The 14,180-nt window shown below is 49.4% G+C and overlaps 2 annotated features.

Moving 5' to 3' along the window:
• Window positions 489-989: an enhancer, noted in NCBI's record as "OCT4-NANOG-H3K4me1 hESC enhancer chrX:68066477-68066977 (GRCh37/hg19 assembly coordinates)". NCBI's record gives its function as "activates a minimal SCP1, AML or CMV promoter by ChIP-STARR-seq in primed H9 embryonic stem cells {active_cell/tissue: H9 hESC(primed)}" and the evidence as "EXISTENCE:reporter gene assay evidence [ECO:0000049][PMID:30033119]".
• Window positions 4,610-5,110: an enhancer, noted in NCBI's record as "H3K4me1 hESC enhancer chrX:68070598-68071098 (GRCh37/hg19 assembly coordinates)". NCBI's record gives its function as "activates a minimal SCP1, AML or CMV promoter by ChIP-STARR-seq in primed H9 embryonic stem cells {active_cell/tissue: H9 hESC(primed)}" and the evidence as "EXISTENCE:reporter gene assay evidence [ECO:0000049][PMID:30033119]".

Genomic DNA, 14,180 nt, shown 5'->3' on the forward strand with positions numbered 1-14,180 from the left:
GGAAGTGCTGGCAGAGCCAAGCCTTGGACCCAGCTTCCTTGCCTCACAGGCCAGAGCCAGTTGCCCTTCTTGCATACTGTGTGGCCTTGTTCTCTCAAAATCCCTGAGTGTGTGTGTGTGTGTGTGTGCCAAACAAACCTATATATACACAGTATTTATATTGACAAACTTTGTAAGTTTACACAAGGCAATTACCAAAATGACACATTATAACCCTGAGGAAAATATGGTGCTGGGAGGTTTAGGCCTGGTTCGGAGCAGACCGCGAAAATGTACTCATAGTCTGCCCCCCTCTCTGGGGGTCCCTCTCCTGTGGCACCTTACACAGCTCTGAAGTCACTCATCAGCAAAATAGCTTGGAGGTATCCGTAGGGGCCAGACCCACTGGTTCACAGCCCAGACCCAGAATTGGGCATCTCAAGGCTGGGCAGAGCCTTATAGATCCAGCGGTTTCACCCTTGTTTGGATGCTGACTGTGGCTGGCCAGCCTCTGCACGCATACCTCAGGGCAGGCCTTCTTCCCTCCCCCACCCAGGCTGCCTGGGCCTTTCCGGCCAGCCTGACAGTTAGCTGTCCTAGCACTGTGTTCAGCCCCCCTGCACACACTAATAGCCATGGCAGTAACATGCTTTCACATGCAAATTGCTATGGAATTCTCAGCCCCTGCCGGTGCCCCAGCCCCCAAGGCCTCCCCCTGGGCAGATTCAGAGAAGAGAATGGAATCTTTCAAGCTGTTAGGGCGTCTAGAGACCTTCGAGTCCAGCCCCCTTGTTGGATGGATGGGAAAACTGAGGCCCAAAGAGGAGAAGAAGGAACTGCTCACAGTCACACAGAGAGTTCACCGGGACTGGCCCTCACCCAGGTCTTCCGACTTCCAGCCCATTGCCTCTTCAAACCGCCACACAGCCTCCTAATCCCTCTCATCCCCCACCCCACCCCCATCATGGGGTATTTACTGTGGACTCTGGGATCCCTCCCCCTGGCACAGATGCTCCTGGGAGACACCCCTCAGTGGGGCCTGGGAGTGTGAAATCCAGAGAAGAAAAGACCAGAGATAGCCATGACTTAGGGGCATTGCCCAGGGAAGGGAGCCATTCTCCTTTGAAACAGGCAAAAGACAGGATTTGCTCACTTCTCTCTCTGCGCTGCCATCCCCTGATACTGGCCAAACCTCCCCCATCCCCCGCCCACCCGGCAGGCCTGCCAAGCTATGCCAAGCCTTCTCCTGGGCCCTAGTCCACCAGATCTTTCCAAGTTTGTGCATCATCACTCTGCTGGAGTGGTCACCAGCAAAGCTTGGGTTCTGGGAGGCCCTGGGAACCCTGGTCCCAGCTAGAGTATGGGAACATTTCCCTTCCCTTCAGTTCAGCTGAAACAAGATGGGAATTTTCTGAAATGAACTTTACAAGGAAACCGAAAGGAAATGAAAATAAACACCAAAAGGGAAAAAGAGACAAGCTTACAGAGCACAGGTGTCTGCTCCCAGCTCAGCTGAGGTCTTACTACAGATGGACCCAAGCTAGAAACTTCCGGGTTATCCTTGAAATCTGCCTTCAGTTCTGCCTCTGAACTGAACTTGACTCTGCCCATTTCTGAGCACCCCTAATACCACCAGCCACTCTGGTTTGTACTACCTTTATCTCTTACCTGGACAATGGCAATAGCCTTCTGACTGGTCTCCCTGCTTCCATTCCACCTCTCTCTCTTGCAAAACAGCAGCCAGGGCCATCTTTCCAAAACTCAATTCTGATCTTGCCCATCGCTGCTTACCTTTCATATTTGTCCATCATTCCCCAACTCTTCAGCATGGCTTTCAGGGTCGTGGGTGATCTGGCCCTTGCCCATCTCCTTAGTCTCTCACCTCTACCCCTCCCCACCACGCACACCTTACACACCAACAACCCAAAGCTACTCCTTGGCACCTGACCAGAACAGGCACCCTTAAGCCTCTGCGCCTTTCTGTATGTGCTCTCATCAGCCAGAAATGCCCGTCCCCTTGCCCGTTGTCTGGCAAACTCCTATTGAGCCTATTATTCACGGACATTTCTGACCCCCAAGCCAGGCCAAGTTGGTGTTCTCTTCTCAGCCCTCACAGCGCTTCTGCTCACACTGCCAGTGTCTGTCTCCCCCAGTAGATTGTGAGCTTCTGGAGGACAGAGCCAGTGTTTCATTTCTGCATCTCACCTGGAATGATGCCCAGCACAGAGTTTAGCACAGAGGCAATATCAATAAACCTTTGAAATGTTTGTCGACTTGAATGGGCTTGGCTGGGCTGGGACAGTCACCCCAGGGCTCTATCCCTGCCCTTCACTGCTCACTTTACCATCCAGCCAATCTGGAGAGTCAACATCTTATTATATTCCCTTACAATAAACGCTAACATTTACTGAGTACTTATTGTGGGCCAGGCACCATGCTCCACACTTCATGTGCATTACTTCATTGACACCTTCTGCTGCAGTGATGTCTCAGAGAGGTCCCTATCTGAGGTAGGACTGTGATTATTTCTGTTTTACAGATGAGGAAATGGAGGCTCAGAGAGGGAAAGTGCCTCGCCCACAGGCACGTGGCTAGGAAGTTGTATGTAAGGACTGGAACTTGAGAAGCCGGAATGCGGAGTCCAAGTACTTAGGTGCTTCACCACACTAGTAAGGCAAAGTGATGGTGGCAGCTTGGAGAAAGAAGGAACCTGGGCCCTTTGGTCTGTACCCCTTGATGCTGGCCACGTGGCTTCAGAGGCTGTCTAGTGTGGTAGTTAACAGCCCAGATTCTGGAGTCAGGCTGCCAGGGTTTACATTCCAGCTTTACCACTTTCTAGTTGTGAATTCTTGAGCCATTTACTTAAACCCCTCCGTGCTTCTGTTTTATTCATCCAAAAGATGACACTGAGAGTAGCAGCCATCTCATGAGACTGTAGTGAGGATTAAGTGAATAAACACACATCCAGCCCTTAGAACAGTGCCCAGCCCTGGTAATTGCTTCGTAAACGCCATTTACTACCCTTTGAGTCCCGAGGCAGCCTTTGGTTCCTTCACTCAGCCTTAGGCAGCCCGAGTCCTCTACGGGCTGGTCACTGCTTAGCCACTTGAATCAGAAGGTTCAGCTGCTAATATTCCCTGGCCTCAGCCCGGGTTGCTATGTCCCCAGTGAGGGTGCAATGGGTGGTGGGCTGCAAGCTCCTCCAGGCCCCAGCCCCAGGGCTTAGCTGTCCTAGGCTTGACTCCTGAAGTCCCAAAGGGAGGAATACCTAGGCTGCTGTGACCCTTACAAGGAGCCTGGAGTCAGGATCAGGAGACTCGCATTTGAGGCCTGACTCTGCCCCTAATAGTCATATGTGCCATGTCTTCTCTTGAGGCCTGGGTATCTTCTTCATCTGTTGAATGTAAATGGGATGATGTAAGCAAAACTGCTTTGTGAAAAAAACACGTATGCTTTGATGTAAGGAGCCACCATTTCCCATCAGAATGTGTGTTCCTTCGGGGCAGTGAACCTGGGCCTCAGTAAAGAGCCAATGAATAATGAATGAGTATTTCTCCCACCCAGAATCCATGCTCCTCCCCAGCCAGACTCTAGCAGCCAGAGATCCAATTCTGAAGCAGGGACACTCACTCTGATAATGGCCTAGAATGCTCTGGGAAAGTCGAGAAGGATGTGTTGCCATGTTTAGGAGAAGCCCATGCACCACAACCTAAGATCCAGAGACTATTTTGTTCCCATCCTCAACAGGTTCACTAGAGTTGCAGGCAGTTTTGAAAGAAGGACAGTGCTACACTAAATGGCCCCTTTCTATACGCTGTTTTGCTGGTGAAGTTTCAGCAGGTACAGCCTGTCTGGGAGCCACTTAAGTAACAATACACATCAAAAACCTAAAAATGTGGAGGCGCTCTGACCCAGCAATTCCAATGTGGATGAAGGCCCTGTGTGAGCAATTTTCATCACAATCTTATGTATTTGCAGTGGTTTTCTAATATAAAAAAAAATGGCTTCAAAAGCCATCTCCTCTGGGTAGTTTTGGGCTTTTGTGATTTTTTTTTTTTTTCAAGATGGGGTCTCATTATGTTGCCCAGGCTGGACTCAAACTCCTGGGCCCAAGTGATCCTCCCACCTCAACCTCCCAAGTAACTGGGACTACAGGCACAGGCCATCACTCCTGGCTATGTCTGGGTAGTTTTCTTAATCTATACACACACACACACACACACACACACACACACGCATGCACGCACACACACGCACACACATATACACAAACACACATGTCCAGTAACAATGAAAAATTTTTGGTGCAGCGTATATTAACTGTCTTCTTTGAAAAACTTTCCTAGTTCCCCTCCTGAGTTATGCATATGTCTTTCTTGACTCCAGCACATTGGATTGCAACCACTGGAGTCTTCAACTCTCAGTAACTCAGTTTCCTCATCTGTAAAATGGGGAAACTGATATTGCCTATGATGTTGGACAGTTGAAAAGATGCCACGAGATAATAAATATAAAGCCCTTAGCAGAGTGCCCGGCAGGTCATAACCACTCAATCAATTTTATTATTGTGATTATTATCTCAATGCAAGACAGTCACAAGTCTGCCTCTATCATTAGTCGGTGATCTCTTCCATGGTAGGGACTAGGCTATGGTTTTTTCTCTCTGAATCTCCAGTGCCCAGTACAAAGCTTGATATATGGTGGGTGCTGAGTGAGTTTGGTAAAAGGATAAATTGAGTCCTATGCCCTCAATACAAAGAAGCAGCTGAGGCCCAGGAGAGGACAAATCAAGAGTTAAGACTAGAACCCAGGTCTTCTGTCTTCAAGCTGTGGTCCCCTAGGGAATTGAGGGTGAGGGTGGGATTGTGAGTAACCTTCTGGATTCCTTGAGTTGGACTGCTTGGGCTCTTTCTGAACTTGGGGGTCTGAGATCCCTGTGATCAGAGGGACTCTGGGGCGGGGACAGTTGTGCTGATCCCCCCTCTTCATTCTTGCCTTCGTTCCCTCCATCTCGGGCTCTAGTCTAGCCCAGCCAAACAGGAAGATTCATTAACCGTCTAAATATACAGAGCCCAGGGGCCATGTGCAGCCTGCAACAGAGCTGGGGTCCCAGCAGGGCCAGAGCCTGAGGCAGCAGTGCCGGCAGAGGGCTGGCTGGGAGGGGGGCTTAGCGAGGGGGAAGCCCAGGGAACAGCTAATGTGATGATTGATGGGGAGGTGAGTGAAGCCAGGCTAGCCCTGGGCCCTCAGACCTCCGGTCTCTAGTCCTATTCTTACCTATCTATCCTTGCATTCCCCACCCCAGGTCCATTCCTGGTCCCCACCGTAGCTATAGTACCATCCCCATCTCCATACCCTCCACCTCCTTGGTCCAGGTCCCTGGGCTTCAGAAGTACGAAGCCTAAGAGGTGGGCGGCCAGGGTTGGGGGTGGGTTTCCCCAGGCTCTTGCCTGCTTATTATTATAAGGGCTATTTCTCTAATCAAAACTCCCCAATTACCCAAGGGCCCCTCTGATTAATATTCCATGATAACAGGAACAGGTCACATCTGGCTGCAGGAGCTGGAATTCGACACTCCAGGAGCCCCATGATTGGTCTGCAGGAAGAATAATAAACTTCTTTCTCCTGCCCCGCTTTCCCTTCCTTTCCATTCAGAGGTCCCCTTTTCCTCCACCTTCCCTTCCCCAGCTCTCCATCTGTCCCCCTCCACCCCTATCCAAGGCCTCTGCATTGCACTCTGCCCTCTTTTGAGGTGGAAGCTGCCTCTACAGTCTGGGTCAGCCCTCTGGCCATTGTTGTCCCCTTCTTTGCCAGGCTGATCTTTGGTGTGGGAACATGTTTTGCTGGGACAGTGGGCTGAGTAGGGAGGCTGATTTCTGAGTGATTGTGGGGGCTTTAAATGTATCATCTCATGAAATCCTCCTCACTATCCTCCTATGAGGGAGGAAGTATTATCCCTGTTTATTGACAGGGGCACAGTACGCCTAGAAGCCACAAGACTTGCCCAGCATCACACAGTCTTCCAGTGACAGAGCTGGGATTTCAAGCCCAGGACTCTCTGCTTCCAAGGCTTCTCTTCTCCCCACACCCCACCCTGATCTGCTGAGGATGGTTTCAGTCCCTGGATGCTTGGATTAAGATGGGACCGGCTGATATGGCAGAGAGCCAGTGCCCATGAAACCCAGACTCCCAGGCTTCTGTTGGATTTGAGATGGGTTTTCAGGCAAATGCACCAAGAACTTTTAATGCAATCCCACAGCCCAGAGAGGAGAAAAGACGTTCCCATGTTCATATGGCAAGGTGGTCAAAAATATGGGTCTCAGCCCCAGATCTTCTGACACTCAGATGAAAACTTCGATTTGCCATCATGTGGATGGCCCTGAATGAGAGAGGTTTCTTGTCACACCTGCATGTAAGGGACTGCCAGACACCCCCTCCCCTGTCTTAACCCAAAGACACCCCAGACAGTGCCCAGCTGCTTTTGTTTGTTCAGTCTTCACCAAGGAGCCTGGACAGAACATGGTCTCTGCTTAGGGTAGGGGAGGGGACAGCAGGGGAAGGGGTTGTGGCTGCTGCAGGCGGCCAGAAAAGATTTGCCTTCAGCCAATCCTAGGCTATGGCTCTTGGCCCTGGGGCCGAGCTCTCTGCTGACCCACCATGCATCTCAGCAGTCAGGAGGAGGGCAGACTCTTGAGTTTCAGGGGCACAATCAATCCTCCACTGCTCTCTCCCCAACACACTATTAGGTGTCTGAGAGTGGGACACCAACTTGGATTTGCTGAGGAGGGGCAGGGCAGTGAAGTGTTTCTCTCCACCTCTGACTCTCCTACCTGGCTCTTGCCTTGGGCTGTCACCTTGCTCCTACCTCCCCCAGGGAGCTCCTTTGCTCAACTCTAATCAGAAATACCCTGGAGCCATCTCCCGAATTCATACCTAGGTAAACTGGGGGCCCTGGATGAGTAGGAGGCTAACTGAGTCTTTGACTCAGTCCGTGGCCCCTGGCTCCAACCATACTTCCCATCTGCTCCGTCTACTGGCTGGGACTGTCCTGGCTAGAGGGCTAAAACACGGAGCTGCTCCGTCCTCATGTCCTGCCCATTGGTGGGGTCTGAGATATCCACTGTTTTGTAGGTATCCATGAGGCTTCTAGGGCACAACTACCTTGAGATTACTGGAGGCCCAGACAGGCCTTGTAAGAGCCTGAGCCCTGCATGGGAGAGCTGAGGCCCAGGTCTCTCCCGTCCCTTCTGCCTTGCTTTCTTCCAGCCACTGCTCTTATTGTCCAAGCCCCCACAGCCTCTCACTCCAATCTCTGCCTTTACCTCCCCCCAGTTTTATTCTGCCTTCCGGTTGCACTCTCATGTTCTACACACTGAAGCTACCTTCTTAAACTCCAGATCCATGTTAGTTACTTAACTTCTCTGTGCCTCAGTTTCCTTATCTGTAAAGTGGGGACAAGAATCATACCTATCTCATAAGATTGTAAGGATTAACTGAGAGCACGCACGTAAAGCAAATGCTTCATCATCTAACCTGCTAATACTGAAACAGGCTAACGCCAAGTGAGCAGTTACTGTGTGTCAAGCACTGCTCTAAGCACCTTACATGTGTGATAGTTTAGGTCAGCTCCACAACGGTTCGATGTGGTGAGGATTACTGCTGTCATTCTCATTTCACAGATAACTGTACTGAGGTGCAGCAATATTATGCAACTTGCTGCAGTTCACATTGCTAGTAACCTGCAGAGCCAGCCTTTGAACTCAGATAATCTGACTCCGGATTTGACCTCTTAACCAATCTGTCATTTTTGCCACCCTAGGAACAGTCTCTGACTCCCCAGTACCTAGAGGACAAAGTGTAAATTCCTTAAGCTGCCATTCAAGGCCCTTCCACCCCTCCTCCTTGCATTACAATGCACCCTGAGAACTGAATGTCTCCAGACCACCAAGGGTACTTACCTGCTTACAAGCCACTGCTCAGGCAGTTCCTTCCACTTGGAATGACCCCTCCCCATCCCCCTAAAACCCTCACATATACACACAAACCCCACCTCTCCCAGTGTTTATTTTGAGCCAATTTCCAAAGCTAATGGGTTTAGAGGAAGCACTTGAAGATGTGGAGTTTGTGTGTGCCTGTTTGGGGGTTTTGGTAGGCAGGGTTTAGAGGGTCACTTCAGGTGTGACCACCCTCATGGAGCCAGAGGTGCCCTGGGCCAGTAGTCCTTAACCATTTGGCCACCTAGAACCATCCTTTTGAATGATTCCTCCCCATTCCTCTTCTCCCCCTGCCCTCACACCAAGGCTCTGATGGATCTTGTCTACCAAACACTCTGTATTGGAAAAATATAAAGCACGGTTAGCAGGAAAGGACGGTCTCTTGGGAAATTGGATACCACATTTGAGAGGTGTATGGATTTTGCCTTCTTCCCCAACCCTGCTTCTTCTGAACTTGAGTTTTTGAATGACTCCATGCGATTTCTGGGCAAACCGGATGCCTGGGCTGGGCCCCCTGCAAGTGAGAATAGAAAGATCGGTATTTTTCTCTCCACTGTTGATATGGTTTTATTGTCATGCTCTAGGACTGACTGCAAGAGACAATTGATCCTACTGCCCAATTGTTGTCAGAAAGCACGACTTAAGGTCAACTACCCGAAAACTCAAATCATCAGCATTGGCAGGCGGCCCCCCAGCATTCAATTGGTTTCTCTCCAACAATTTAATACAGCAGGTCAAATCACTCAGTTACCTGGGGGTGCAATTTGCGACTAATCCATCTTGGAGGGTTCCCCGGGAAGCTATATTGCCTAAATTAGATGTTCTAGGGGTGTTTTATTGAAAGTTTTTAAATGGCCACAGTGGCAATTGGTAACGCCTGCTTTGAAAGTGTTCCAGACAGAAATGGTTGTGGGCCTGGCTCGAAGGTGGAGAACTTTGCACATTGGAGGGGATTGAAAACTGTTGCAGGGTGGGGAGCGGGGGCAGGGGGCAGATGATTGCCCTCATCAGTGGATACCCCTCCGGGCCCCTCTGTGAGAATCACCCCTAGGCCTTCTTGATCCCTCCCCTCTGCCTGGCTCTCTGGCTGAGCCTGGGACTCTGCCCTACATCCATAACTCACGACTGCGACAGCCCAGGATCTCACTCCAGATAACTCAGCCTTGAAGCTCCTGTCACCCTAGCCTTACCAATAGCTAAGTTGGCAGAGATCATATTTATGGTGGACTGCCTGAAGGGCAGACTGCCCACCCTATCTCTTGGAGTCTTATATTCTCCTTTGCTTAAAGCAGCTCATCAGAGGGCTGAGTACAGAGACCACTGTACTGTGGCCTTTCAGGAGGCAGGAAAGCACAGGGACTGTGAATCTGGGCTTCGGTAATAGACAGACCTGGGTTTGCCTCTAGCCCCACCACTTCCTCCCTGTGTGTTCCTGGGCAAGTGATTTCACCCGACTCAGTTTCCTTCTTTGTAAAGTGAGGATAATAACAGTGTTTACCTTTTCGGGGATTTAATGCCTAGCACGTAGTAAATAATGGCTATTATTATTATTATTATTTTTGAGATGGAGTCTTGCTCTGTCACCTAGGCTGGAGTGTGATGGCATGATCTCGGCTCACGGCAACCTCCACCTCCCGGGTTCAAGCAATTCTCCTGCCTCAGCCTCCCGAGTAGCTGGGATAACAGGAGCCCACCACCACACCCGGCTAATTTTTGTATTTTTAGTAGAAACAGGGTTTTACCATGTTGGCCAGGCTAGTCTCGAACTCCTGACCTCAGGTGATCTGCCTACCTTGGCCTCTCAAAGTGCTGGGATTACAGGCGTGAGCCACCACGCCCAGCCTGGCTATTATTATTTATTGTTATTCTTGGAGAATTGCCACAGGTCCTTGTAGTAGATGGTTGGAGGAAACATCGTGGCAATGTCAACCTGGTACTCACTGCAAGGATGTTGTTGAAGACATCGTGTGGTCGCTTCTCCCAGGGCCCTATTTGTAAAGGGCCAAGGGAAAGATGTGATTCCTTTTCCAACTGGCAAAAGCCATGCTTCTCTGGAATACTTGGCTTATTTTTATGTTACAGATGCCGTGAAGCTCATAATTGATGGCATTTCCTTCTTTTATGAGGCTACCAGGGGAGCTGAGAGCCAAACACAGGCTCTAGTAACTGTGTAGAATGTCAGGGAAGGCGTTCGGTGTGTGTGCCAATCTTAATCCTGGCTTTATTATTTTCCTAACGTTGTTTTTCTTTATCTTGATTTCTCTCAAGTACATATTTTATGATTTTATATTTTATAGCTTTTGTTCAGTTGTCCCAAATTCTTTGATGAAAATATGTGCCACAAATGACTGTTGTAAGAGTCACCATCACTGAGTGAATATTTACTATTACCAGCGCTTACCAAAAATGAGTTTATTTACTCTCACAACAGCCACATGAGGAAGGGGCCATTAATATCAACCCCTCCTTACAGATAAGAGAATTGGGGTTCAGAAAGGTTAATTTACATGCACAAAATCGTATAGCTTGGTTAGGCCTGGGAATGAACCTGTGCCGTCTGATCCAGAGCTGTAACCTGGCTAGGCTGTGCTGCCTCTGATGGATCAATGGAAAGAAGGCACACAGGCAGGAATCTAGGGGATGCATGTGCACAGATGATGGATGAGATAAATGGACATGGGTGGGAATGACAGGCATAGATGGCAGACAGTGAGATGGAAGATATGATTGGTTTTTCTGTAAGATACCCAGGGTTGTCTCATTGAGGTGATACAATTCTAGCCCAAAGCAAAAGAACTTAATGTCTTAGCCAGTGCAATCCTACCATAAAGGTACATCAGTCTCCCATAGGGCTTTTGAAAATGGAGATACTCGTGGCTGTTCATTAATGCCTTTGTGGACCTCTATTCATTCATGTGTGCATCCATCATGCAACTACTATGTGGCTGGGCACTGGGGACACAAAGGTCACTAAGACATGATGGATCTCTGCCCTCAAGGGGCTCCTAACTCACTGAGTGAGACATACATGAAGGCTACAGATCATGATACAGATGCGCTGGAACCAAGGTCTCTTCATGGGGTTTGGGAGGCACCAAGGCAGTCGGGGTGGGGAGCAGGTCATAGAGAGTCAGGGAATGCTAGAAGTTATTATCTCATTAGGAAAGGCTTCCAAGATGGGGAGTTGAATGAAGCGTAGAGGATGACTAGGAGTTTGCTAGGCTGCAGATAGAGGTCCCGGGGGCAGAGAGAACCACATGGGCAAAGGCACAAAGGCAGTCACAAAAGCACAAAGATGGGGCATATTGGGAACGCTGCAAGTAACCCCTTTTGATTGGAGGGTAGAGAGTGTGTTGGTGGCCTTAGAGATGAAGCTAGAGGGGCTAGGAGGCCACATCGCGAAAGACCAAGGTGTTTGGAGTTTTTCATATGGCAGATGGGGAACCCTGGAAAGGTTTGAGGCAGGGGAGGCACCCAGTCAGCTTTGCATTTCAGAAAGTTATCCACACACTCAGAGAGGCATAGAGGGAGACCAGCTAAGAGGCAGTTTTCACCGCCATCATGCCACCACAGTGTTCTGAGCTGCTATCCCATGTGTTGCTCGTTTCAAAAATATCTATTGAGCACCATCTTAGTCTGCTAATACCTGAGATTGGGTAATTTATAAGGAACGGAAATTTATTTCTCACAGTTCTGGAGACTAGAAGTCTGAGATCAAAGCACTGGCAGACTCTGAGTCTGGTGACGGCCCACTTCCTGGTTCATAGGTGGTGCCTTCTCACTGTGTCCTCACGTGGTGGAAGGGATTGCATGGGTGGGGGGGGTCTCTCTCAGTCTGTCATGTTTTATAAAGGCACTAATCCTAATCACCTTTCCAAGTCCCCACCCCCTAATACCATCACCTTGGAGGTTAAGATTTCAACATGTGAACTCTGGAAGGACGCAAACATTCAGGCCACACATAGCAAGCGCCTATCAAGCATCAGGCACTGTTCTAGGCACTGGAGATACTGCAGTAAGCAACATGGACAAAGCTCCCTCCTTGCAGAGAGCGTACATGCTAGTGGAGGGAGACGCACAATAAATAATAAACACAACAAACAAGAAATTTATATGTCATGTTAGAAAGCAATAAAAGCTATAGAAAAAGAGAAAATACAGCATGATAAAGAGCATTGGGATTATGAGGGTGGGGCTGGCATGAGACCTTATTGAGAAGGTATATTAGTCCGTTTTCATGATGTTGCTAAAGACATACCCGAGACTAGGTAATTTATAAAGAACAAGAGGTTTAATGGACTCACAGTTTCACTTGGCTGGGGAGGTCTCACAATCATGGCAGAAGGTGAAAGGCATGTCTTACATGGTAGCAGACAAGAGAAAATAAGAACCAAGCGAAAGGGGTTTCCCCTTATAAAAGTGTCAGATCTCATGAGACTTATTCACTACCGTGAGGACAGTATGGGGAAAACCACCCCCATGATTCAATGATCTCTCACCATGTCCCTGCCACAACATGTGGGAATTACGAGAGCTACAATTTGAGATGAGATTTGGGTGGGGACACAGCCAAACCATATCAGAAGGTGACATTTAAGCAAAATCTTGAAGAGAGAAAGTAGAGGCAATGTGGGGACTCTTCCCAGGTCCGACCCGCACAGATATTCACAGGCCAGGGCAGTGGACTTGGGATCTGGCTGTCCCGGATTTGAGTCCTGGTACCTTGGGCAAGAAACCACCTCTCAGAGCCTCCATTTTCTCCTGTACTTCCTGACTTCTGGGGCTGTGGTGAGATGACGGACACGATGGTGCTTAGTAGCTAGACAGGTAGGCCCTGGAGGTAAAGGGGTTGTCACACATCTTCTCTCTGGCATCCGCCACTCACCCCTACCGCAGCAGCCCCATGGCTCTGGCTGAGGAGCCAGTTGAAGAGAAGGCAGTGGGAGAGTTGCTGACAGTGCCTCGTTCAGGGGAGGGTGAACAGCTTCTCTGAGCTCCAGTAAAGATGAAACTGGGCCACAGGTTTCATCCTTACATCCTTCATGATGTCAACCTGTGGCATTATAGCTGTCGTCTCTGCCATGCACGACTGGGCACGAACCCATAGTGCGGCAGAGCTGGAAAGAAGCCCCTATGGGATGAATGGGGATGCTGAGGCCCAAAGAAGGCAAAGGACTGGCCCAAGGGCACACAGTGAGAGTCAGAAACACATCTGACACTGGGGTCTAGGTCTCCTGCCTCCCAAGTGGGTCATGGAAGCTGTTTTGACCCGGGTCAATTTATTAATAGTTACAGCCCCTGCCTTGGCCTTTTTTCTTACTGAGGCTTCCTTTGACAGTCTGGAGCCCACTGCTAAAAACTATAACAGTTGCTACATTTAGCGTTCTTCCAAGAGACTTCCATTTGTTATCTCGTGAGTCTCTCAAAAACCCCACGAAGTATTATTATTACCCTTATTTTCATTGATGAGGAAACTGAAGCACAGAGAGGCTAAGTGACTTGCCCAAGGCCACACCTTAGGAAGCGGAGGAGCTGACCAATTTTGGCAGTTTTGCTCATAAATCTTTGTATTTAGCCACTAGGTTACATAGGTGTGAGATGAGTATGTGTATGTGCATGATGTCTGTGTGAGTGTGGCTGAATGCGTGTGTTGGGAAGTTTTCCTGGCTAACTCCCAATTGCTGTTTCACGCTCTTCACAGGGGATGCCTGGGGAACAGGGCAAGCTAAGAGATCTCCCGGCCAGGCCCCTTTGGGACTGGAGGGTGCCGGTGGTTCAGCATTGCTGCGACTCCATGTCCAGATCCCCTTACCGCCCCATCATAGGAAGAGCACCACAACTTGCAAGAACATACACAGACAGCACAGTGGATGTGAAACCCTTTTCACGTTGTAGGGCAGTGGCTTTCCAACTGTGCTTACTGCACCAGCAGCATCAGCATCACCTGTGAACTTGTCAGAAATGCAATTTCTTGGGCCCCACCCAGTTGAGACTAGATCAGGGACTCAGAGTGAGGCCCAGCAATCTGTGTTTTAGCAAGCCCTCCGGGGAATTCCATTGCATGCTCAAGTGTGAGCATTAGAGACATACAGGAGAGGAGAGGCCCCACAGCATATTGGGTTTGCAGACTTCCATGTTTGTACACACATATGTTCAGGGCACAGTGCTTTACACTTTCCAAAGAGCCTTCTCACCCATAACCTCCTC

This window comes from Homo sapiens, chromosome X, assembly GCF_000001405.40.
Source record: "Homo sapiens chromosome X, GRCh38.p14 Primary Assembly".
NCBI classification, from domain to species: domain Eukaryota; kingdom Metazoa; phylum Chordata; class Mammalia; order Primates; family Hominidae; genus Homo; species Homo sapiens.